Source organism: Homo sapiens, chromosome X (assembly GCF_000001405.40).
Source record: "Homo sapiens chromosome X, GRCh38.p14 Primary Assembly".
Taxonomy (NCBI): Eukaryota; Metazoa; Chordata; class Mammalia; order Primates; family Hominidae; genus Homo; species Homo sapiens.
Window position 1 is genome coordinate 13,000,661 of NC_000023.11, and position 27,136 is coordinate 13,027,796.

Below are 27,136 nucleotides of genomic sequence, written 5' to 3' on the forward strand. Positions count from 1 at the left end.
TGCTTTGGGACTGGCTTAACAAGCCCACAATATTCTAGAAGCATGTGCCCGTCCCAGGAGCCGACTCAGCCATTTCTCAAACATGAAGAGGACTGGGCCGTGCAGTCCTGTTTCCTCTTCCTGATCTTTGTAGTAGTTACAAGCTGAACAGAAACATGCAAATAAAAATCGAGAACCCTAAAGAGTAAGAAAATCATTTCCAGAAAGACTGATAATAAATTTCAAGCCATCAGCTCAAATATCACTGATTTAAGTGCATTTGTTCCAGCTCTTTTATAGAATGTGAGGTTAAATACACAAACTTGATATTAGAGTTGTCCCTGTACTAATTCCCGCATGCGATTCTTTTAAAAAGAAAAATAAAATAGAATGATTTTTAAAAATCTCATCTAGAATGAGAAAACATAAAGTGCTTTTGGCTTTCCTTTCCCTGATTTTGAAGGGCTTTTTTTTCCGCTTTTCCTTTACTTCCCTACCTTAAAGATGTTTAAATTTAAGCCAGGTGTGAGCTCTGAGAGAGATCGAAGCTGCATTTTATTTACCTTTGTAGCTCAGACAACCAGAAATGGTAGCGTTAGTATTTGTGGAATGAGTCTTCACCTGACTTATCCTGAAGGGATGCATCTTCTACTTAGGATAATGTTAGATTTGAATTTTACAAGATCCTGAGTCAGTAGTCTGTCATCCAGGCTGCAGTGCAGTGGCACAATCATGGCTCACTGCAGCCTGGACCTCCCAGGCTCAAGTGATCCTCCTACCTCAGCCTCCCAAGTAGCTGGGACTATACGTGTGCACCACCATGCTCGGCTAATTTTTACATTTTTTGTAGAGAACAGGTCTCACTACGTTGCTCAGACTGATCTGGAACCCCTGGCTTCAAGTGACCCTCTCACCTCAGCCTCCCAAAGCGCTGGGATTACAGGTATGAGCCACTGCACCCCACCATTATCATTATTTTAGAGTGTACTCCTACATATAGATATAAAGTTAAGTGTAAAACAGCCTCACGCAGGTCCTTCAGGAGGTATCCAGAAGAAGGCATTGTTATCATAGGAGATGACAGCTCCATGCCTGTTACTTCCCCTGAGGACCTTCCAGTGGGACAAGCTGTGGAGGTGGAAGACAGTGAGATTGACAATCCTGAGCCTGTGTAGGCCTAGGCTAATGTCTGTGTTTGTGTAAAAACACACACAAAAATAAAATAAAAAGTTTGAAAATAGAAAAAAGTTTACAGAATAAGGATATAAAGAAAGAAAACATTTCTGTACAGCTGTACAATGTATATTTTAAGCTGTTATTACAAAAGAGTCAAAAAGCTAAAAAAATTCGAAGGTGTATAAAGTAAAAACGTTACAGTAAGCTAAGGTTAATTTATTATTGAAGAAAGAAAAATATTTTAAACATAAATTTAATGTAGCCTAAGTGTACAGTGTTTATAAAGTCTACTGTAGTATACAGTCATGCCCTGTGCCTTCACATTCACTCACCACTCACTGACTCACCCAGAGCAACTTCCAGTTTTGCAAGCTCCATTTGTGGTAAGTGCCCTATACAGGTGAACCATTTTTTATCTTTTATACCATATATTTACTATACTTTTTCTATGTTTAGATATACAAATACTCACCATTGTATTACAGTTGCCTACAGTATTCAGTACAGGAACATGCTATACAGGTTTGTAGACTAGGAGCAATAGGTTATACCATCTAGACTAGGTGTGCAGGAGGCTACACCAACTAGGTGTGTGTAAGTACCTCTATGATCGAACAATGATGAAATCACCAAACGATGCATTGCTCAGAACATAGCCCCATTGTTAAGTGATGTGTGACTATAATTACACTACTGGGATTACATTTGGGAGAAGTAAGGTCTTCCTTTCTCTTTTTATGAGTTGGAAGATGTATTGAGAAAATCTGCCTTCAGCTGCTATAGTGGTGAGGTGGTGGTAGTTCTCTCTTGCTTCCTGTTAATCATTTACATTTATATGGCCTATTACAACAAAACATTTCAAAGAACCTCATAAACGTGAGGATTGATTCAATTAAACTGTACTTCTGGTCTCTGGGATGAATATGACAATGTTTTGTTCATCTCAGAACTGGAAAATTAAGGCCCAGAAGTTGTAAAGATATTTCTCATTCCAAATTCTGCATATATATATATTATATGAATAAATAATTCAAGAGAGTGAGGAAAAATCATATTTTTTTCTCCTTTGAGCTGGAAACAAAAACCCTTTGTACAGATTTTGATGATTCTTACTTCCTCCAAACCTTAGCTTTATTCATATGTTCTGCAAACTAAACCACCATTATGAAACCAACTGAAACTGTGATCACAGGAGGCCATAAATAAATTAGCTAAAGAATTAAAATCCTCCTGGTCAGGGATTAAGCCTTTTATGATCTTTCTCCTCTATGAAAATACCTTAATCTCTCCTCCTCTGAATTTTCCATTTATATTGCTTATATCAACGGTTCTTAATTTTAAAAACGTGACCCCTCTTCTTGCACTCTGAATTTTTATGTCCTCGCAAAAGATATCATAATTCTTTTTTAGAAATTACAACTGTATCTAATAGGAAAGCTAAGGAATGGCATTCATGTGATTTTTTTTTCTTTTCTTTTGAGGCAGAGTCTTGCTCTGTTGCCCAGGCTGGAATACAGTGTTGCGATCTCAGCTCACTGCAATCTCCGTCCCCCGAGTTCAAGCGGTTCTCCTGCCTCAGCCTCCTGAGCAGCTGGGATTATAGGCACCTGCCACCACGCCCAGCTGATTTTTGTATTTTTATTAGAGACAGGGTTTCACCATGATGGACAGGATGGCCTCGAACTCTTGATCTTAAGTGATCCGCCCGCCTCGGCCGCCCAAAGTGCTGGGATTACAGGCGTGAGCCATTGTGCCTGGCCGGGAAAAATACATTTTTGATATCGAATATCTCAGTCCCTTTTATAACTCTGTAAGCCCCGGGGAGTCTGAAATGCACAAGCAAAAATCTCTGGCTGATTTCAGTCAGCCATTTGGGGGCTTATTTGCTTTGTTTTCTAATTGCTTCTCAACATTTAGTTTGAGAGGATAGAAATTAGGCCATTTTTTTCATCTGTTATAGGACTGGCCACACAGTAGTGCTTCAGAAACTAGTTGCTCATTTATTGCTTGGTCCATTCTCTTGATTTTCTTTTGCCTGGGAGGAAACACTGCACTGACCTTTCAACCAAATATTTGGGTGCTGCAATTTTTTTTTTTTTTTTTTTGAGACGGAGTCTCGCTCTATTGCCCAGGCTGGAGTGCAGTGGCGCGATCTTGGCTCACCACAACCTCTGCCTGCTGGGTTCAAGCAATTCTCCTGCCTCAGCCTCCCGAGTAGCTGGGACTACAGGTATGTGCCACTATGCCCGACTAAGTTTTTGTATTTTTAGTAGAGACGGGGTTTCACCATGCTGGCCAGGCTGGTCTTGAACTCCTGACCTTGTGATCCACCCGACTCAGCCTCCCAAAGTGCTGGGATTACAGGCTTGAGCCACCACGCCCAGCCGCAGGCTGTTGCAATAATTTTTTTTTTTTTTTTTTTTTTTTTTTTGCGACGGAGTCTCGCTCTGTCACCCAGGCTGGAGTGCAGTGGCGCGATCTCAGCTCACTGCAAACTCCGCCTCCCAAGTTCAAGCAATTCTCCTGCCTCAGCCTCCTGAGTAGCTGGGATTGCAGGCGCCCGCCACCACGCCCAGCTAATTTTTGTATTTTTAGTAGAGACAGGGTTTCACCATGTTGGTCAGGCTGGTCTTGAACCCCTGACCTCGTGATCCACCGACCTCGGCCTCCCAAAGTGCTGGGATTACAGGCATGAGCTATCACGCCCAGCTGCAATATTTTAAATATATTTTAGTATAAAGTGAAGGGCCTCTGACGTCCATCTAGTAAGAATCGGGCCACATATTCATAGACTGACAGTTTCAATCTTTGCAGACTTTGTCCTTTGAAGTTTGCTTTGCTTTCTCTTTTCACACTTTGGTAGCATCTTTCAGTTCTCTGCTGCTCCAGAGAGGAACATTATGGCCTCTTGATTGGATGGATAAAGGGTCCAGCCCTGACCCATTGGCTGCTAGAAGGGCCAGGGGCAAAAAGATGACCCCATTAACCACCTTTTCCACCTGTACTTCAGTCTTACTTGCAAATTGTTTTTTCTCATGTCTTTTCATCATAGTCTATACAATCATCTTGTCAACAAGTTATCGTAAAAATTGTTGAAAAGGATCTATTAATTCTCAGCCCAGAGGCTGTCCTTTGGATTTCTTTGTGACTATTGCTTTGGTCTTACATGTGGCTGATATCAGCTTGTTTTGAAAATCCAAACACTAGTCCACATTTTCACCTAGTAAAGTCATTGATGCCTTCTTTGTGGCCAGTTATAAGGAGCTTTTTCATCTAATTCATGATGACCCAGGAACCTTACCTCCATGACAAAAATGTTCCTGGAACTCAGCTTCCCAACGTCATCTCTACTTCAGTTCTTTAGGTTGCCAGATGTTGAAGATAAATCACTTTAACTGTGGTTGCATAGAATTGGTTGGGAATCACATGAGTTTCTTCATGTAAAAACTACCAAGACCTCTGCTTTGGGTCTAGATCCTGGTTTATGCTGCCTTCTTCAAAACTAAGGGGAGATGCTGGGACTTGCTGTTAGCTCCATTTTTTTTTTTAATTGCATGATTCTCTGACTTTGCTGAGGAGTTGTAGATCCAAGTTCAAACATACATTGGCAACTACACCCAAATGCAGCCAAGATACAAGGGTCTACATGTGATACAGGGTCTAATTAGCCATGTGACTTTGGACAGGTCATTCTCTCTGGCTTTGATTTTCTCATTTGTAAAATGATGTATTAAATTGGGGCAAAAGTAATTGCAGTTTTTGCCATTAAAAGTAATGAATTCGGTTCTTCCTAATAATTGAATTAGGTTCTTTCCAGGCCCTTTTCTGGTTCTTTCCATTTCTAAAGGTCTATGATGAATAGGCCAACCATGTCATCATGGGTTCCAGCGCAGCACCCTAGAGCCCCACACCTCATTCCTGGCAGGCACGCACATCTCCAAATAGGGCTCCTTAGTTTTTAAAGAAGGGAAAACGGATAAGGAGAACTGAAACCCACATACTTTCAGTTCTGACTTTGTGAGTTTTGAATTTAAATGCTTTCTCATATGAAACAGTGAGTGGGCAGAAGCATTCTACAAGAAGAGAGCCCTGAAGTTAGATGAGCAATGAGCAATCCCTTTCTGTTGGTGATTCTCTTTTGAAACAAAACGCATCACTGCTCAAAGCTCAACTGCCAAAAAAAAGAAAGAAAGAAAGAGGGAGAGAGAGAGAGAGAGAGAAAGAAAGAAAGAAAGAAAGAAAAGAAAGAAAGAGAGAGAAAGAAAAGCTAAGAGTAAGGAGAAAAAAGAAAAAGAGAGAGAGAACCCACCACCCTGTGCGAACAGCACAGCTGAACAAAGGGAAATAGAAGGTAGTGGCATGTGAATCCACGTGGCCCTTTGCCAACCCACTTGCCTCTCACGCTGCCACACTTGCATATATCAGGGTAATTTCTGGGATGGAGGTTTTTACTGAGCACTTGTTGGCAGAGAGATTTTCTCCCAGTCTCATGACGTTCACAAAAAGCTAGTACTGAGAGGAAAAAACTGCTGGGACTTACATGTAATAGCATCTTCCAAGCAGCTCTATAAGATGACTAACATTTCAGCTGGACACGAGACAAAACTTGGCACCAGAAATGGTGGATGATGGTGCACCACCACTGCTTCATGCAGCCCACTATCGAGGCAAGGGGGTCTGAGCACATTGCCTGCAAATAATATGTTTGCAACTTTTCAATTCATTTGAGTCCTGACTTAAAAAAAAGCGTGCCAGGCAAATGATCATCTGCATGACTTTTCAGAAGGTTTTGCCCTGCTAGCCCTTAAATGATATGTGAAAACAAATCAGGGAGTTGGGGCCATCTGAAATGTAGCTTGAGAGGGTAAGAGAAGATGGAGAGACATGCTAAGGGTTTAAATAGGAGGAACCAATGAGGAAAAGCACATGACACTATTATAGTGGAATTTTGCCTTTTTTTGGCCATTCCTGTATTTCCATAGTTGTAACCATTTGTTACAAGCTATTCCTCTGATTTTTTTTTTTTTTGCATCTTATAAAAGTGAGGAGTCTATAAAAGACAACATTTTGTAGGCCTGCAGCCTTTGCATCTAGTTTTTGGAAATAAGTTGTTACTTATCTGCCTATGAATGCCTTCTCCCAGCTTTCCTCGAATTTTTTGAGGGATGAGGAAAAATTAGTTTCCTTTTAAAATACGGAACCCCTGGAGAACATTTGTTTCTCAGAGAATGATAAACAAGGAAAGGGGATGTGATGCATACAGCAAATTTAAAAACATTATCAGGCTGGATGCAGTGGCTCATGAAGCTTGCATTTTAGTGCAAAAAAACAAATAAATATATAATGTGGCAAGTGTATTGCTAAGCATTTTAGAGAAAAGTGAAATAGGATAAAAGGATTAGAGAAGAAATGGGAGGGTGGAGGGTCCATGCTATGTTGTAGGTCATGATTGTAAATACCATTAAGTCTAGTTTCCATTCTCCCTCTGTGCAGATGAAGAAACTGAGGCACTAAAGGAAGACATGACTGCCCAGGGTCTCCCAGCTGGCTAGGCACCCACTGGGAATGAAACCCAGCTCTCCTGACCCAAGACAAGCCCTCTTTTCTCCCATCTCGACACCCGCACTTGGAAATGGGTTGCTGCAGTAGGAATTTGAAGTCTAGCATTTTTTCCCCTTGCAATCAATTGATACTGATTTTCTTATGAGTACAAAATGAATTGTCCAACACCATTCGCATATCAGCTTGTGGCAGCAGTAATAGTCACTAACATTTAGAAAGGGGTGGCATGGAATTCACCTAGAGTTGACTCCCCACTGTGTGGTCAGTTCATGAGCATCTGCCCTGTGCTCAGCACCTTTCACACTGATGTGACAAATTCAGGATGCATCTCCAACTTTAATATGTACATGAGTCACCTGGGAATCTTGTTAAAGTGCGGATTCTGATTCAAGAGGTCTAGGTGGGACCTGAGACTCTAATAAGCTCCCAGGTGATCCTGGGGTTGCCAGTTCACAGACCACATTTTGGGTATTGAAAGTCTAGGTACCTCTGCTAGTTTGCTGAATGCAACTGAGAAAGAAACCTCAGGGTTAATGCTTGCATTTTTCTGTCTTCATTTCTCCATTGTCCTACTCTCCTCCCTTGGAAGGCTCCAGCTTAGAAAAAGAAAACATTATGAAATAGCAGTGCCAAACCTGAATTACAATGTTAGGCATGTAATTATCTGGGCAAAAGCCAGATGTCTCAGACTAGGGTTTAGTACAGCTTGCCAGGGCTGGGTAAAGTTCCTAGATTGAAGACACAGTTGAGACTACATGACATATGCAAGAGAAAAGGGGTACCTGTGCCTGAAACTCTGGGAGGTGAGAAGTGGACAAGGGTTACTGCTGCATAAGTAATTGAGGAAGCTTCTCCTTCCCCACCAGACTGCAAACTGAGATGTTTGCATATTAATCTTGGCCACAGGGGTGACTCGGTCTGTGTCTGCAAATGAAAGGTTTCATCCTTGGCTGTGAAATAAAAATAGCAAATAGCATGTGGCATGCAGGGGCTTTTCCTCTATAAGGGGCTGTCACTGTCCACTGTTTAAAGCCTCTGCTTGAGCCATCTTCAAGGAAGGAGGGTTGTGAATGAGTGGGGGCAGATTGCAGAGCCAGTTCGTAGACAGCAGAGATGCTCCAGGGAAAACCTCCCTTCTCTTGCTGTTTACATTTGCACATACTTACCAGTTTGCCAGAACTTCTTGGTGTCAACAACTTTGACTGAGACTGCGCCACGTGAATGTATCTCCTGGGGACTCAGAAGATAGCTCAGGAGGTAAAGGCAAGGCCCCCGCACTGTGATCTGACTGAGCTTAGGAGAATTGGGCTCCTCAAATCTTTTTGCAAACTCAGTTTCTTCTCAGAGGAAAATGGTAACAGTGACAATAAGAAAAAAATAAAACCGTATCTCTAAAGTGGAAAAGGCTATAACAGTTCCCATTACTCTTCTGGAGGGAAAACCAGTTCCAGTGGGCCTAGGGTTCCACAGCTATGTAGGGCTTCTTTACAACTGAAGACTTTAGACCATTTGGTTTGTATTCAGTAGGACCAGGTGGAAGATGTGAGGATGGGATGGTGAATGGGAGGTAGATATCTGACTTTAGATTTCTAGGCATTTGCCAAAATATTCCTCCTCCAGTCAAGACTTGTTGCCATCGGTGAAAATGGTTAGTCACCTTATAACAGTTGTGATCTTCCTAAATGCGCTCAGCAAAGGCAAATGGAATGTTCTGGATTACCAACCAATGGCCCAGAAGGTTGTACATCACACTGGGAATTGTTGCTGGTCTCTTTTGTTCGAAGTTGAACTAGAGAGGTGGCAAGCAGAGGTGGAACACTCTCATCAGTTACTAGAAAGATTTCCCACCACCCAGATAAGCCATAAACCATCTGAGGGAAAGAAAGACTAATTCCCTCAGCCAATATCAGCTCTAGCTCGATAATAATTCCCATCTTGGAGATGGGAATAGGGAAGGCAAATGCCCTCTTCTTCAACAAGTCTCAGAGCTTACTGTAGTGTCTCAAGGATAAGGCTCCTATGACCCAAGAGCTGCTGGGCAACCTGTGTGTGTCTCAGCAGAGTCGAGGGTTTGGAGGACTGCCTGGGGCAACCCAGCTGTCACTGGCTGGCCCAGGGTTTCTGTATGAGGCCATGATCTTGGCTTGGCAAACAGCAAGGGAGATTCCAGGAAAACAAAGAAAAAAAAATCCTTTTCACTTTTAATTCAAGTGGCCCTTCTTGCTGCCACTTTGAATGGCTAAGACATTTGTACTTTTTTTTTTCTTTTTTTTTGAGACGGTGTCTCACTCTGTCGCCTAGGCTGGAGTCCAGTAGCACATTCTCGGCTCACTGCAAGCTCCGCCTCCCGGGTTCACGCCATTCTCCTGCCTCAGCCTCCCCAGCAGCTGAGACTACAGGCACCCGCCACCACGCCTGGCTAATTTTTTTGTATTTTTAGTAGAGACAGGGTTTCACCGTGTTAGCCAGGGTGGTCTCCATCTCCTGACCTCGTGATCTGCCTGCCTCAGCCTCCCAAAGTGCTGGGATTCAGGCGTGAGCCACCGCGCCCTGCCGGCAACATTTGTACTTTTTAGTGGCCCCCACTTCCAGACGTGGAGTATACAAGTGGATGCCCACTGATGGGGCCACTCTGTAGCTCTCCGGAGTGAGTCAACCCCAGGATATTGGAGGAGCAGGGAGGGGCAGAGAAAAGCTTAATTCATTTTTCTTATTGTACGACTCATCTTAAAACATTGCAATTTCTTTCAAGCAAAATAGCAAGCCTTTTTTGTTTGAATAAACATTTTACTTTGGGATAATTTTAAATTTGCAGAAAAGTTGCAAAGATAGTACAAAGAATTGCCATATACCCAGCTTCTGCCAATGGTAACGTCTTACATTTCTACCGTACATTTGTCAAAACTAAGAAACTGACACAGGTGCAATACTATTACCTAAACTCCAGACTTAATTTCAGTTTTGCCAGTTTGCTATTTAATGTGCTTTTTCTATTCCAAGAGACAATCCAGGGGACCATATTGCATTGAGTAACATGCTCTTTTCTAACAAATCTCTGCTTGAGCTAATCTAGCTGATCTTTTAACCAACCTAACTGAGCACCTGTTCTGTACAGGGCCCTGGCTAAGCCAAGTGGGAGGGATAAATAAGTCCTGACATAGTTCGCTGTCTACTTGGAGAGGCTGATGCATAAATAACACTGTAAGATGCATGTAATCAGAGTGGTTTGCAAACAGTGCCCCAAGATTGTGGAGGACAGGCATAGTTCTCTCCACCTGGGGCCTCACTGGGGCCACATTTGCTATGAGTCCAGGAGAATCAGAAGGGCGTTCCTAGATAGGGAAGTGAGCTGGAGAGGGAAATCTGGGAAGGTGATACAGAGTTCCACCCAATTTGACTTTGATAGGAAAGGGAAAGTACTGCAGGGTACTGAGCTGACTATTTAAGATGTGGACGCTTAGAACTAGGAAATGTCCTGGTTTCTAAAAACAATGAAGAGAAGTACTCTAATACTGGGAAAAATGTGTGAGCATGTTAGTTGGGGGGGCTTTTCAACTGGGGCTCATTAGGAAGAAACCCCAGCGATCTTTCTTTCATTATGTGGCAGCTAGTTGAACTATTTGATTTTACAGCAAAGAACTCACAAAAAGAGGGCCTTTGTTCCCAGGTTGAAAGCACAAGAAAATACCAAAAACTTGAATCATACCAGCATCCAGGTAGAAAATCATTCATATCATTTGCCAGTTGTTAATTTTGTTGGTGGCGATCATCTATGCTCTTCCCTCACCCTAGGGGTGCTGACCCTCATCTTAGGAGAGGCTCGACTTGTAGAGCGAGGACTCATTTCCCCCACCCAAGCCAAACAGGTGCAGGGGAATGGAGCAGTTTGACACCAGCCGCAGCTCTGTCCTAGGAGAAGATCATGATGTGACCTGGGGATAAAGACTGAAAACAAAGCTCAAAGCAGTGCTCTCTAAAAGCAGGGTGTCCCTTGATGTCTGAAGAAATGACAATGTTGACCTATAGGCTTCTAGGTAAGGTTCCAAAAATGTACCCTCAGGGTCCATCTTCCATACTCAAAGCTTAACTTCAGTTCCCCCACAAAGATTTGCTTTCTCGACGCAAAGAAGGCCAAGATGTAGGATCCATGCTCTTCTAATGTGGTCTTCTACAAAATTCTCAATGGGCCCACACTCCCCAGCAATCCCAGACTTATGAGTCCATATTCCAGCTGTTTAGCTCAAGGGCTCACAAGGCAGGTGGGTTTCACTTAAAGGCAAAAGAAGAGGACAAGAGTCGTGGGGGTAGCTCCCCACAGGTGAGGGCTGGCGGTTGAGAAGGCAGGAGAAAGTGTCAGTTTCATGGCTGACGGGAATCCAGTGTGACTTCAATAGCTGAATTGAGGCCGGGCGCGGTGGCTCGTGCCTGTAACCCCAACCCTTTGGGAGGCCGAGGCAAGAGGATCATTTGAGCCCAGGAGTTCAAAACCAGCCTGGGTAATGTAGTGAGACTTCGTCTTTACAAAAAATAATGATAATAATAATAATAACAACTTGAGTGAGCCTTCATCTTTCTGAGCCTCAGATTTTCCATCTGTAGATGAGAATCTTATCACCTGCCCTGCCTATCTTGCAAGGTTCCAGTAAGAATTCGAAAAACAAATGAATGCAGAATACATTGCCTGGTATAATAATACTCAATAAAGGGCAGCTATTGTTCATATTACTTCATGTATAATAAAAAAGTTATTTCTTATAATTGAATTCCTAGTAAATATGAGAGTCTCCCTGCAGTAAAGAAGAGAACAAACTTTATGCTACTAGAAAAAATATGTGGCTATTTGCCTATTGTGGTGGAGAGAATTATCACTCTCCAATTCAGGACAGGGTCCACGTCCTGTACGTCACATGGGAAAGGGGAATTTAGGTGGCAGATGGAATTAAGGTTGCTAAGCAGATGACTTTAAAATAGGGTGACTATCCTGAAGTTTTGGGATGGACTTAATGTAATCACAAGAGTCCTTAAAAGCAAAAAAGGAAGATGGGACTATGCAAGGGAGGACCAGCGGGATGGCAGCCTGAGAAGGACTTGGCCGGGCACTGCTGGCTTTGAAGATAGAGGGAGGGAGTCCTAAGCCAAGGAATGTAGAAACCTCTAGAAGCTGGAGAAGGTGAGGAAATGGATTCTCACCAAGAGCCTACAGACAGGAATGCAGTCCCGCCGACACCTTGCTCTTAGTCCAGTAAGATTCATGTCAGACTTCCGATCTACAAAACTGTAAGATAAAAAGCATGTGTGGGCTGGGCGCAGTGGCTCACGCCTGTAATCTCAGCACTGTGGGAGGCCAAGGTGGGCAGATCATCAGAGGTCGGGAGTTCAAGACCAGCCTGACCAACATGGTGAAACCCCATCTCTACTAAAAATGCAAAATTAGCCTGGCGTGGTGGCGCATCCCTGTAGTCCCAGCTACTTGGGAGGCTGAGGCAGGAGAATTGCTTGAACCCGGAAGTTGGAGGTTGCAGTGAGCTGAGATCACGCCACTGCACTCCAGCCTGGACAACAAGAGCGAAACTCTGTCTCAAAAAAAAACAACAAAAAGAAACGTGTGGCCATGGACACAAACAAGGGAACAATAGACACTGGGGCCTATTCGAGAGTGGAGGGTGCGGGGGAGTGAGGATTGAAAAACTACCTATGGCTACTATGCTGATTACCTGGGTGACAAAATAATCTGCACACCAAACCCCTGCAACATGTAGTTTATCTATAGGACAAACCTGCACATGTATCCCTGAACCTAAAATAAAAGTTTAAAAAATGTGTGTGTTGTTTTAAGCCACTTCGTTTGTGATCATTGGTTACAGCAGCAATAGAAAACGGACACACCTGTCAACAGAAATTCTGGAGTAATGGCACATTCTTGGATGTAGGAATGATATGTTATTAGCTGCACAGTTTTTTGGAAACTCCTTTACTCCTCTTCTCATGATGAATTAGTCACAGATGAATTAGTATTTTTCCCCCCATTTATCTGGCATGGATTGTAGTTGCTGAACTAAGGCAGCTATTTACAGCGCTCTTCTTATACCTCCGACTATGTTTGCAGAAACTTACATACAAAATACTGTTGCCTGATTCAGGCTGCCTGGTTTGGTTTTGAACAGGGTGTGTCAAGGTACATTCAAAGAGAAACTCTGACTCAAGGGCAAAGTGATGTTGATAGAGTCCAACTCAAAATATTTAGAGAAAAAGATGGGTATAGTCAGACAGTGGGCTTTCTCCCTTGTGTTTTCAAGGTTTTCCTGAGAACAACAGACATATTGTGGCTTTCCCCTTAGCTTACTATTAACATGAAGCGAGAGGTCAATGACACTGTCTGGCTCCTCAAAGGAGCTAAGAGAAGGGAAGAAAAATCCAAATTCCCAGGTAAACATCTGTAAAAGGATTTGGAACTAAGGATAAGGAAGTTCCGAGGCTTACTGAAAGGGAAGGGAAGGCAGCATTATTTACTGGCCATGGATCGTACTTCCTGTTGTGAAGCTCAGCACTGTTTCATAACAGCTGGGGGCTGCTGTCTCTTCTGCTGTAATGAGGAAGCAGCGTTCTTGGTTCCTCCATATTACACAAGTTAATGACCTCTACTGCACGGTGAAATTGGCATAGGGAGAAGAATGGGACGCTTGCCCCTGTAAATACAATAAAGCTTTTTTTAAAAAAATTGTGGGAATATCTTTTCATAGATAATGTTATTGAGTATGTCACATGTCCTTTACCCCTCTGTAGGCTCTTGACTTGTCTGGAGATTAAAACAGGTTAAAGAGATAAGTACTCACCAGGGACTGCCCCTTAGCATGCATTTGTTGTCACTACACAGCCAGGGGCTACAAAAACCAGCATAGTCCTTTAAAAAAGGAATTCGGTTCGTGTCCTTCTTATCATATAATTTTGCTACAAACCCCACAAAAACTGTTTTTGCAGCAAATTTGCCTGGAAGGTCGGCCAGGGAATTGTGAAACAACATTTTTACCTTGACAGGAGACATGATAACTTGCCCTTATCCTTCTGCAGATAAGTCATACTGTGGCTAGGTTCACACATGTGAGATACAGTGAAAAACTGAAGAGACTTCTTGGATATCTCATTGGATAAATGCTCAAAAATCTAGATTTTTTTTGGCAAAAAGGTCTTTCAGGTTAGCAGACAGAGGTTGGCTTTCCTTATCACACCGTGTGAGTTCAAATTCAGATTGGGCTATTAACAAACTGTGTGGCCTTGACTAAGTTAATTAACATCTCTGTGCTTCAGTGTTCTCAACTTTAACGGAGAGAGTAGTAATACATATGCCATATTCTTGGTGTGAGAATTAAGTAAGGCAACATATGAAGCCCACAGAACAGTGCCTGATACTATAAAATGCTCCATCAATGTTAGCTATTTTAATTAGACAGAATGGATGTAAATTCGTGATTGAGGAATAGAAGGTACAGAAACAGATGAGTCATCAAAGGGAAGGAATGCTTGAAAGCCCAGGAAACACTGCCCACCCGCATGTATGCTATCATTTGCACCCAGCATTCAGGGTTCTCCTGACTGAAGAAGCTTCTCTTCCTGCCTTCTTCTCTCCTTTCCTTGTTTCCCATGACAATCCTTCTGGAAGTGTCTGCACCAGCCACACAGGTCTCCAGGGCTTTCCTATCTTCTTCCCCTCAGTCTCACACATTCACAAGGTTTTTGTTTTTTTTAAAAAAAATTATTTTAAGTGACTTTAGATATCTTGCTTGTGTTATAACTTTAAAAAATCTTGGGCTGGGCGCAGTGGCTCACGCCTGTACTCCCAGCACTTTGGGAGGCCAAGGCGGGTGAATCACGAGGTCAGGAGTTCAAGACCAGCCTAGCCAACATGGTGAAACCCCGTCTCTGCTAAAAATACAAAAATTAGCTGGGTGTGGAGGTGCACACCTGTAATCCCAGCTACTCTGGAGGCTGAGGCAGGAGAATAGCTTGAACCCGGGAGGCAGAGGTTGCAGTGAGCCAAGATCGTGCCATTGCACTCTAGCCTGGGCGACAGGGTGAGACTCCATCTCAAAAAAAAAAAAAAAAAAAAAAATCTGGACCAGAAACATTGCATGGTTTTACAAACTTATTCCATTTTGTACTTAGGAAATATAGACTAAATCCCAGGTTTTCAATTTCCTTACCATTGTGCCATACTAAATATTGGGGATTCTACTCTTCTAGCAGTGCAAATCTGTGCTACTCTATTCATTCTCCATCATTGCTTAAGCTTCCAGGTTTGGTTTCTTATCTCTCCATTAGATTCTAAGCATTCCAGGGCAGGGATCAAATGTAAGCTTTGTATTCTCAAAGGTATCTCAAGTTCAAATCTCAAGTCTGACACTGGTGAGAATCTTCAGTAAATATCTAATGACTTTTGCATTGCTTCAGTGATTAAATGGCTATAAAAGGCAGATTGTTTCCCTCCTACTGAAGGCACTGTGGATAGGTGCACCCATATCGAATGGCCCCTCACTATTGTGAGTGCTGGCTGTTTTCATCACAGTGGGTGGCATTCTAGGCTCTTTCCCCAGGCTTGGAGTCTCTCTCAATGCCATGATCTTAGCATTCTGCCCGTTGACCACACTGGAAGTGAAACTACATGCTTATTTCTCATGGTGGGACACAGTGCACAAGGAAGTAAAAAAAAAAAAAAAAAAGGGAAAAAGAGAACAGACCTACTTTGTTCCCCTTAATCTCAGGATTGGTGAATTACTGAGTTTGGGGCAGGCTTTAGAGGCTGGTAAATGACATGACATTGCCTCCTTTGTGGCTACTGAGTTCCTTTTGCGGGGGGATGGAAGACAGTTTCAAAGTTTTAACTTTGATCATCTTACCTGGGAAATGTAAGAAAGGCAGGACCCTCACCTGTTATGATGGAGTGCAGGGCCCAGGCAGGGGACACTGCAGGGACTTGTGGTGGCAACTAGTGCATTATCTTCTTGTGTCTTCATTTCTTCTGGATGAAGTTCATGCCGAAGACTTCTTAGGAAACCCATTCGTTAAGGGGAAGGTACTCCATTGCCTCACTTAGTTACATATTATCCTGGCCTTTCACAGCCTGGATTAAAGTCTGAGGCCTCTCTAATGCAAGCTCATGGTAGGATAGAATATCACTCTTGTCAGGCCATTCATATTGACTGGTCTTTGACATACTCCGGATACTCTGAAAATACTGCTCTGCAGTTGTCAGCATTTTAAAGGGGGAAAACCATGGTTAAAACAAACTAAATATGGCCTGAGAAGAACTCCATACTTCTATATTTGAGTCCTTGTGGACAAACTATAGCCTAGCTTAATAGGCAGACAAAATTGAAAACCTAACTTAGTAGTATGCACCTGTAACAATAGCTAAGTCTTGGCCAATCCCAGTGGCCATACTTCAACCATTCATACACCGCTGAGTGTTCAAACTGTGTTCAAATAAGGCATATGCCGAGCTGTAACCAGCCCAGTCGTTCTGGACCTCATTTCCCATTTCTGTACATAATTTCCCTTTTTTTGGTCTATAAATCTTCTTCCATCACGTGGCTGCACTGAAGTCTCTGTGAATCTGCTGTGATTCTGGGGGCCGCCCGATTCAGGAATTGTTCATTGCTCAATTAAATACCTTTACATTTAATTTGGCTAAAGTTTTTCTTTTATCACCATTGCCAGGCCTCCTTGGAACACCTATCTCCCACCATTCATTGCCTTTCATGGACTAAGTCAGGTACCACTTTCTGTTTCAGCCTAGAAAAAGTATTTCCTCCTCAACCTTAGAGAGAGGAGGCTAGACGAGATGGCAAGTACCTTCCAGTCCCAACATCCTAAGCATCTCCTTTCTCTTGGTGTGAAGTGATATAGGGAAAAGAAAGTAGGAGTTGGAGTCAGATTTGGATTCCAAAGGCAGTATTCCTGCTTCCTGGCTGTATAGAGTTAAGTGAGTCCATTTCTTCAAGGCTCAATTTTCTCATCTCTAAAATGGGAATGACGATACTAGTCTCAAAGTGCTGTTGGGAGCACTACTGACGTCCTGCTTGCAAAGCATCTAGTACAATGCCTGGCCCACAGTAAGCATTGAATGCATTTAGCTATTATTATTATTATTATTAATAGAACTGTGTAAATAACATTAGTATCTTTTATGGGACTAAAAAACAAAACAAAAAAAGAACTGGTCAGGTGAATCCTCACATGTTATGTTAAAACTCTAGGGACCAGGCCAGATGTGGTGGCACATGCCTGTAATCCCAGCACTTTGGGAGGCCGAGGTGGGAGGATCTTTTGAGCCCAAGAGTTTAAGACCAGCCTGGTCAACATAGCAAAGCCACATCTCCACTAAAAAAAAAAAAAAAAAAAAAAAATTCTGCCTGGTGTGGTGGTGTACACCTGTGGTGCCAGCTACTCGGGAGGCTGACGTGGGAGGATCGCTCAAGCCTGAGGGGGCCAAGGCTGCAGTGAGCCGTGATCATGCTACTGCACTCAGCCGGGGTTACAGAGTGAGACCTTGTCTCAAAATAAAATAAACAGACAAAAAACAAAATTATAGGAAATAATAAATGCCAGTCTTTCTCCTTCATTTCAGGGCCCAAATCACATCTTGCTGTTGTTGTATGACTATTTTCTTTTTGGTCTTCTTTCTACTATATTTAACTTTTGCATGTATTCCAGAGTATCTGACAAAGTGCAGTATGCATGGTAGTGTATTACAAAACATCTAAGATATAGAATTGATCATCTGTTTCTTAGCTGGCCAGTCTATCATGGCAAATAATAATGAACTTCTACCATTCTGACCAGTGCTCAGAGTGATTTGATAAAGCAGAGATGGACTGGAATTGTTCACAACCACACATTCAGCGACATCCAAGTTTTTCATTGGCCATGCTGAGGAGCAAAGCTATTTAGGGGCTGGTGGGAATTGGACCTGGATGAGGACAGAGGTTGGGCATAAATAAACAGGTCCTTCACTCTGTCACTCAGGCTAGAGTGCAGTGGCGTGATCTCAGCTCACTGCAACCTCCACCTCCCAGGTTTAAGCGACTCTCGTGCCTCAGCCTCCCAAGTAGCTGGGATTACAGGCATGTGCCACCATACCCGGCTAATTTTTGCATTCTTGGTAGACACGGGGTTTCAACATGTTGGCCAGGCTAGTCTCGAACTCCTGAGCTCAAGTGATCCGCCCGCCTTGGCCTCCCGAAGTGCTGGGACCACAGGCGTGAGCCACTGGGCCCAGCCTCGGTCCCTCTTATTGACCAGCTACTTCAGACTAACACTGGCCACACACTGTATCTCATAATCCTTTCAGTCATCTTTAAAATAGAGATTTTTGTCTTCCATTTTACAAATGAGGAAACTGACAGCCAGAGAGATTAAGTAAGCTTCTCAGAGTGGAGCGAGGACTTGCAACTTCACAGCCGTGTGCTTCTCTGCAGTATTGCCTGGATTTAGCAAAGTGGGATTTAAGGATTGCTTCCTTTGTCTTTACCTGTACTTAGGAAGTAGGCTTAGTTCTCTGAATAATCCACTTCTTGGACCATCAGACAACTATTTTCACACATACTTTCATCTTTCCCTAGCCTCCCTGAGTAGGTTAGGTAGTTATTCTTTGCGTGTTTTCCAAAATGGTAAGGCTTCAGGTAGACTTTCAAATTGTAAGAGTCATTTCAACAGAATTAAAATGTTCCACCTAAAGCCTTATACAGACAGTGCTTTGAATACGTCTCCAAAAAGTATCTGACTGAATCTAATTTTTTTTAATGTGCTTTTGCTTAACTTACATTCAGTAAGCCCACCCCGTCTCAGACATTTTTACTTCTGAAGATCACTGGGGCCGAGCGCAGTGGCTCACCCCTGTAATCCCAGCACTTTGGGAAGCCAAGGCAGGGGGATCGCTTGAGGCTAGGAGTTTGAGACCAGCCTGAGCCACATAGTGAGACCCCCATCTCTACAAAAAAAAAAAAAATTAAAATTGACTGCTTGTGGCGACACATGCTTATAGTTCCAGCTACATGGGAGGCTGAGGTGTGAGGATGAATTGAGCCCAGGAGTTCAAGGCTGCAGTGAGCCATGATCACACCATTGCACTCCAGCCTGGGCCACAGAGCTGTCTCTCTAAAAAATAATAATAATAAAAATAAAAAAGAGAGAGAGAGAAATCAGAAATAGCTCCTTATAGCAAATACATTCAGAATTTCCCCATAAACATAGACTCCCATGACAACCAAACAAAAAGAGACAAGGAAGGAGAAACTCACTCTCTTAAAGCCACCAGCTGTAAATCCTTTCTGCTAAAAGCTGTAGGATAGTATAGATTCTGTTTAAATTTTTATTTTTATGACTGATGTAAAGAATGATCCTTTGTTTAAAAGCCCTTTCTACTACTCTCTCTATGTTATATCTAAACTGGTACAGAGATATTGGTATAAAATATCTCTCCAATGGATAAATTGATTAATTGACTTGATAAGTTTGACTTAACGTGTATATGTCAAAAATCATTTTGAGTATTTCCACACACTTTGGGCTTCCAACGATCTGCATCCTTTCCCCCCACTGAGATTCTCTATGCTGGCATGTTTTTCTATGGCACAGTGAGGGAGCAGTTGACACAGTATAGGCCAAACGACCCATCTATTTCTGTTTTCTCCCTTAATTTACAATATCACTGATTACACCTAATAATTCCATTCTAAAATACATTTTTACACTAATTTTGCTACTCACAGGTCCTAGAAACACCATCACCAGGGTATACTATGGATTCAATTTTGGGGACATAAACATGTTCAAACGTCTATGATGAAAAAGAAAGGTTTACTATTACTTGTCATCCTCAGTTCCATTTGTCTTATTAGAACCTTGCTGGGCACAGTGGCTCAAACCTCTAATCCCAGCACTTTGAAAGGCCAAGACGGGAGGATTGCCTGAGGCCAGGAGTTTGAGACCAGCCTGGACAACATAGTGACACTCCGTCTCTACAAAAAATAATAATAAAAAAAATTAGTCAGGCATGGTGGCATGCACCTGTTCTCCCAACAACTCTGGAGGCTGAAAAGAGAGGATCACTTTAACCCAGGAGTTTGAGCTTGCAGTGAGCTATGATCACACCACTACATTCCAGCCTAGGCAACAGAACAAGACTCTGTCTCAAAAAAAAAGAAAGAAAGAAAAAAAAATAGAATCCAACAATCCCCCCACCCAACATTACGTTTCCTTTTTCTGTACCCTGGGCAAAGAATATCAGAATTTTCATACACAGTAAATTCTCTATATGTGCTTGTCACTGGGGTAGTTTAAAAACCAGTGCTGTGGGGTACAGGTTTCTCTCCACAAATCACCACCGAATCAGCTTCTGACAGATCTGCAGCTAGAATGACTCTTGGCCAATCCTAGGATGATTCCTTTATTCATTAGTGGCTTTCAATGCCTTGGGGCTACTCTTTCTGTTATTTGAGGACACCATGCAGCATGCAGCGGTTTTTTATTAACTCACTAATTGTGCCATTTCTTTCACTCTTCGGGTGATGTTGTATGTGTTCTAATATAAGATATACAACTCTTCATCATTTTTCCCTGTTCAGATAATCTATTCTGCACGAGGACTCCCTGTAAGAATATTCATAGTATTCAACTGTAGTAAGAGAAAGTTTGAAATAAACTGAATAGCCAAGTGAAAGGACATTGGTCAGATAAGTTATGGTAAACAAAATGGAATGCTAAACATCGATTAAAATCAGATGTTTGCTACTACATACTCATTAAAAATTTTTTTTAAATGAGATGTTTGACTGGGTGCAGTGGCTCAAGCCTATAATCCCAAAACTTTGGGAGGTCAAGGTGGGCAGATCACTTGAGGCCAGGAGTTCGAGACCAGCTTGGCCAACATGACAAAACCCCATCTCTACTAAAAATACAAAAAAAAAAATTAGGTGGGCATGGTGGCACATGACTGTAATTCCAGCTACTTGGGAAGCTGAGGCACAAGAATCACTTGACCTGGGAGGTAGAGGTTGCAGTGAGCCGAGATCGCAGCACTGCACTCCAGCCTGGGTGACAGAGCAAGACTCTGTCTCAAAAAAAAAAAAAAAAAAAAAAAAAAAGAGAGAGAGATGTTTGAAGGGTATTTTAAGTTATGGAATGTTTGCAATGCTACAGTGAATATCCTTGTACTGAATCATGTACACTGATGCAAGAAATTCTGTAGGATATATTTCCAGGAATGGAATTGCTCACTCAGAAAGCTTAACTATTTTGCATTTTATATATATTGGTGAGAAAAACTTCAAAAAGATTGTACAAACTTATAATCACAAAGCAGTAACCGATTGGATGAGATTTTTTTTAAGAGACCATTTTTAATCCATCCAGTTTAGTCTAGCAACAAGCTGGAATGCTCTAAAAGAAACTCTAAAACACTAATTTGTCTTTTCACTCAAATATGTATCTTTTTCTGAAAAAATGTCTAGTGAACTATATATAAAAATCATTCTATAAAGCATTTCTTTTATGTTACTAAATTAATCAGTAGAAAGGACATGTATTATAAAAATATACTGTTGAAAACATGTTTTCTCAACATCCTAAAAGCTTCAGGCTGTATAGACACAACCCAACTTTGTGTCTAAATGCTGTGTCGTTCATATGTTCCAGCCTTGGTTTCCTTATTCTTAAAATGAGGAGTTGGAATCTAAGGTCGGTTTCAGATGTAACGACTCCATGATTTTACAATACCTCTTATCAACTGATTGTAGTAACCAAGAGAACTTCCTTCTCTCTCCTAATAATGACTTTTTAAAAAAAAAATTGGAGACAGGGTCTCACTCTGTCACCCAGGTTGGAGAGCAATTATAAGATCCTAATTCACTGCAGCCTTGACCTCCTGGACTCAAGTGATTCTCCTGTCTCAGCCTCCCGAGTAGCTGGGACCCTGGGTGCGCCACTATGCCCGGATAATCTTTTACTTTTTGTAGACACAGGATCCCAGTATGTTGCCCAGGCTGGTCTCGAATTCCTGGACTCAAGTGACCCTCCCACCTCGGCCTCCCAAAGCGCTAGGATTACAGGCTTGAGCACTGCACCCAGCCAGAATGACATCGTTTGTCATAGGTTGTGTTTAGTCCGCACAAAAGCACTTTGAGGTCTCAGTATCATTGTGCCCATCTTACAGAGAGGAAACTAAGGCACGGAAAGGTCAGTAACTTTTCTGAGACCACAGAGCAAGGCAGGGGTGGCAGAGGAGCAAAACTGCAATCCCCGGGGGCTGGGACAACAGAGCCACATTCTTTCTCTTTTCCTCCCTTTCTTCCCTATTGTTAACAGATGGAAGCAAATCTCAAAGTGAACCCTACAAAAATTTTGACATTGCATTCCATAGCTTAGATAGACAATGTTTGTTTCTGTGATCCAAGGGAGAAGATTCTTAAATTATGTTCAATTGAATGTACACATCCAAACGTGGCTTAGCTTCTTTATGTCTTATGCTGTAAGAGTCTTTTTATGATTTGTTTTGATTTTTATGTTTTTTAAATTTTTCTAGGATATGTGCTTGATAGTACTGAAACAAAGGCAGAAAAGAATCCTGGGGTAGGGGGGTGAGTGGGAGGGAAGTCTCTTTAAGGTCAAATTGAGTTACTGTCTCTTGCAGATGAAGATGAATATGCTCTCTCTCACCAGACAGATTCTTGTGGCCCACGGAGAAATCTGAGCTAGTTCCCTTTTCTTGCTAATGAAGGGTCATCACTGAGGAGACTGAAGGGGAATTTTTCAAACCAGGTGAGACTAAGTGTGCAGGGTAGGCTCTCAACAGATGTTGGCAGCTGCCTTTCCCTCAAGGTCCCACCTCCCCCACCCCAGACTTCCAGACACAGGCAGCTCAGGACATTTTCGTACTTTGTGCCAGGCAAGAGATGCTCTTCAAATCTGTGACACGTTGGAAAGTTTTTTTTTTCTTTCAAATCACTTGGATGTTCCACATCTCCAAATAGCAAGGAAAAATGCTTGATCTTGCATTTTAAACTTTCTTTCTTGTTGGTCTTAATTTTCTTTATGTATTTATTTATTTTTTAGAGACAAGGTCTCCCTCTGTTACCCAGGCTGGAGGGCAGTGGTGTGATCATGGCTTACTGCAGCCTCAAACTCTTGGGCTCAAAGGATCTTCCTGCCTCACCCTCCAAGTAGCTGGGACCACAGAGGTGCACCACCATGCCCAAGACAAAGAGTCTCAGGCTGAGAGGCAGCAAGTGCAAAGGCCCTGGCAGGGTGGGAGACTGCTCACTGTGTCGCAGGGAAGGAGAGGAGACCTACAGTGACTGATGGGCGGTCATGGCGTGTGAGCAATGAAGAAGGCTGATGAGGCCCCACCCATTGGCCTTATATCACTGGGATCTTTTTCTCATGCAATGGGCAGCTAATGGAAGGTTTAGAGCAAGGGAATGAAGGGCTCTGATGATTCATAATAATAATAGCATAGTGTGACTATTATGATCATTTTAGAACTATCACTCTTCTAGCAGGATTAGGAAAGAGGCCCTACACCAAAAACATAGACAGGGAGACCCAGTCCAGGAACAGGTGGAGATGATGGATTAGCAAGGGAGGGCAGGGACTGAAGAGCCGTGGGTACTGAGTGCACCAAGGGCACTGAGAGAAGGCCTGGGCTGCTGATTCCATGCTCTTGTGTTGCTTTGCTTTAGTGTTACTGCTGTCCTGCCCTTTGGCCAAGGGAAAAGATAAGAGTAATTTGAAAGGAAATATCCCTGGGAGAATAACAGCTTGTTTACCTGAAACGGATAATTCCTTGGAACAGGACTTGCCAGCTTTCAAGGATTCTAAAATTATGAGGCCAATCTGCACTTTAACCTGGACATGATCAGGATGTACTAAACTGAGACCGGGGAACCAGCCCTGGAGTTAAGACTCCTATTTTCAGTTTTGCTTTCGACCTTCCATAAACTGTTCCAATTCTCACTCATCTCCTGATACCATATTATTTTGGGCATCACATTTCCATGACTTGACTCCCTACACAAATTCTGCTTTGAAGCTTTTTCTATGCTGAAGCCACAATGGATCAATTCAGTCCAATAACAGCTCAGCGGAAGGGAAGGGAAGTCAGTCAAAGCAGGGATTTGGTGTCAAGTAAACACAATAATAGGCTTTTAACTGAATGAGTCTTTCCCTTTTTATTTTCACTTTTTTATTTTTTTATTTTTATTATTATTATTATTTTTTTTGAGACGGAGTCTCGCTCTTTCGCCCAGGCTGGAGTACAGTAGCGCAATCTCGGCTCACTGCAAGCTCCGCCTCCCGGGTTCACGCCATTCTCCTGCCTCAGCCTCCTCAGCAGCTGGGACTACAGGCACACGCCGCCACGCCCGGCTAATTTTTGTATTTTTAGTAGAGACGGGGTTTCACTGTGTTAGCCAGGACGGTCTCGATCTCCTGACCTTGTGATCCGCCCGCCTCCCAAAGTGCTGGGATTACAGGCATGAGCCACCGCGCCTGGCGCGTCTTTCCCTTTTTAGCCAATTATTTTGTTGTGTAGACAGAGCCTCAACCAGCCCCGGTACCATTTGTCTCTTCCCAACGACTCCTCCCTATTCTCCTTCCTGGTAGTTCTGTGGGCTCCTTCATGCTGGTTTCCATGCCACAACCTATCTGGAATCTTGGAATTGCAGAACTTCAGAGGAAAGAGAAGTCTGGAGTATATCTGAAGTCATGACAAACAACTTCCTTTCCCCATAGCTGATAAAGAATGGGCCTGCAGGTCCCATATGAAGGGAAGGTGTGAACACCCTGCATGATAGGAAACAGTTTACAATGCCCTGGAGGTCCCTATGATTCACTGAGCAGTGCTGGACAACTAGACAAAAGCAAATATATCCACCCGGTTCAGGGGGCTTAGCCAGCTGTTTACCACGCCAGCAGTTTTCCTGTTTCACACCCCATATCCTTAATATAGGGCATTCTCTTAAGGGACCTATCATGTCCCTTCCAGTACACTCATTGTCAGTCTTTCCTTTTTTCTCCTCCCTTCACTCTTTCCACATTTCATCCAAATTGTTCTCTTTTCCTCCCCCTCCAGGGGAGAACAGGAGGATGGCCTGTGCCTGTTTCCAGTCTTACCATGAGCACAGCCAGTTGGTGTTTACACATGAAACGGAACTAACTGATCTCCTATGCATGTACATCAGAGGGAAGTACCTGTTTTCCTTTGAATTCAATAGGCAGCTAATGAGTTTTCCATTCCTTCTGATCTCAACCTGCTGTCACGTCCACTAGTGGGTGATCTTCTTTCTGTTGCAAAAGAAGACTTTCTGAACTCCTATGTGGGTGGTCATTTATGAAGGTTGATTGGTGTTTGAAAATAATTTAGAACTCTGTATGTTCATATGTGTATGTGTGTATGTGTAAAAATAAAACTTGATTGGCATGACATCATGGGTGCTGGGAGTGGGTCTGGTAACCAGAATAAAAAGTGGTCTTCTCTGTCCCTTGTCTAGCCACAATTAGGAGAGAGTATGGATTGTCAGGAAATGGAGCTTGTTCCACCCTCTCACTGTGGCTTAAGAATTTTCTTCTCAACAATGAAAAGATGCACAGATCATAGTACAGGAGATAATAAGAGTCACTCTTGCTATCTTCAGCAGATCATAGTTGTACACCATTCTATAAAAATATGAGAGAGAGAGAGAGAGAGAGAGAGAGAGAGAGAGAGAGAAAGATCTTTGTAGGAATAAACATAGAAAGCCATTTTATCTACAAAGCCAATTCAACCTGGACTGCAGTACTTACAATCATAAAGTTCTAGTTAGGTTATTAGTTAGTGGTTGACAACCATAAAGTACCAGTTAGGTTATTAGTTAGTGATTGGAGGGATGCAAAAGCTGACTTGAATACATGACTTCAATCACTTGGACACATGTTTAATTTCCTGTAAGAAAGCTGCAGAAAATCAATGACCTAAATATCTGAACTTGGGTATTTCCAAGGAAACCACCAGACTTCCCCATTGTCTTAGATTAAATACAATTAATAAAATGCCTAACAGACCCCAGAGTTCTTCTGTGTAATTAGATCAATAGCAGTACAACATCTGAGATTTACTTCTCTCTCCAACAAGACCCTTTAGGCTTGGTAACACATCCAAGTGGAAGAGGAAAGAAAGAAAGAAAAACCCAAAACCAAAAGCACAAATAAAACTACCGCTGAAATTAAGAAGTTAGGATCTTCCCAAAGGCAAGCAACTAAACTCATTCTACCAGTGAGACTGAGTGGAACCCTCTGCTCAGCCATTCCTCAGCATTGGACATGGCTTATTCTTGATGTTTGTATAAAATATGGGTTGGTCCACAGGAAAGACATTCATTTTAAAAATAAGATAAAAAATATGAGTTAGCATCAATAAAATTCTACGTTTTAAGAAATGCAGGTTGGTATTATCAGCCCTGATTTGCAGATAGAAAAACTGGCTGTGAGATCATCAGCAATCCTGACGTCTAGAAGATTTCAAGGCCGGGACTCAAACCTACGACTCTATAGTGTAGAGCTTATGCTGTCTCCTTAAATAGTCATGGCTTCGCTAGGCTCACTAGAGGGAGATGATTTCACATACAATATTTAAAAAGTAAGGATGTAGGGGCAATGAAAATGTGGCCCAACTATATCTTAAAAGGAAGATAGTTCACTGGCATATCAGGTCATGAAACAACCACGAGTGTGAACTAGGAAACCACAATGCATGTGAGAATGGCCCAAACACAATTGACTGCACCATCTGGAGAAAAGGTGAAGCCTACACAGAATGCCAAGTAGAAAAATGAGATGGGTTTATGTCAAGCGAAGATTAACATTTCATGTATCTTCTCACTTTAAGCACTTCGTCCTGCTTCTGGTATATCCCTTCACCCTGAGCTGAAGCGAGTTCATTAGTTAGGTGGAAAACAAGAGGAAAGCCAGTGGAAACTGACACTCTTTTTAGATTGTAACCCCTACTTGGGGCAAACCTACAGGATCTCAATGACAGAGGTTTGCTTTCTTAGTAAACAGCCTTGGAAATTCCCCCTCATCTTCCTTCATGGGTCTGGTGTTCTTCATCATTTTACCAGTGACTTATATGTTGGGAGAGAAAACCTGCTTGCTAGATATTAAGCTTATTAAGAGAAGAGGATAGGAGTTGGAAGGGTGGGAGTTGAGTACTTAGCATCTTGCAAGACAGTATCAGAATTTGAAAGAGATCAGAGGAAATTGAAAAATAATTCATAAACATAAAGTACAATAAATGCTTGTAGAATAAATAATAAAACAATGCAAAGCAATTATCCTAGGGAAAATAGAGATAGAGAAGTTGGTTATAACGCAAAAGGTCTATGGATCATGGTGA

General features: G+C 42.4%; 5 annotated features.

Annotated features, from left to right (window-relative positions):
* Positions 3,549–3,598: a silencer, noted in NCBI's record as "silent region_20664". NCBI's record gives its function as "represses an Ori minimal core promoter by ATAC-STARR-seq in GM12878 lymphoblastoid cells {active_cell/tissue: GM12878}" and the evidence as "EXISTENCE:reporter gene assay evidence [ECO:0000049][PMID:35858748]".
* Positions 4,049–4,108: an enhancer, noted in NCBI's record as "active region_29426". NCBI's record gives its function as "activates an Ori minimal core promoter by ATAC-STARR-seq in GM12878 lymphoblastoid cells {active_cell/tissue: GM12878}" and the evidence as "EXISTENCE:reporter gene assay evidence [ECO:0000049][PMID:35858748]".
* Positions 5,442–5,491: an enhancer, noted in NCBI's record as "active region_29427". NCBI's record gives its function as "activates an Ori minimal core promoter by ATAC-STARR-seq in GM12878 lymphoblastoid cells {active_cell/tissue: GM12878}" and the evidence as "EXISTENCE:reporter gene assay evidence [ECO:0000049][PMID:35858748]".
* Positions 12,791–12,870: an enhancer, noted in NCBI's record as "active region_29428". NCBI's record gives its function as "activates an Ori minimal core promoter by ATAC-STARR-seq in GM12878 lymphoblastoid cells {active_cell/tissue: GM12878}" and the evidence as "EXISTENCE:reporter gene assay evidence [ECO:0000049][PMID:35858748]".
* Positions 12,981–13,150: an enhancer, noted in NCBI's record as "active region_29429". NCBI's record gives its function as "activates an Ori minimal core promoter by ATAC-STARR-seq in GM12878 lymphoblastoid cells {active_cell/tissue: GM12878}" and the evidence as "EXISTENCE:reporter gene assay evidence [ECO:0000049][PMID:35858748]".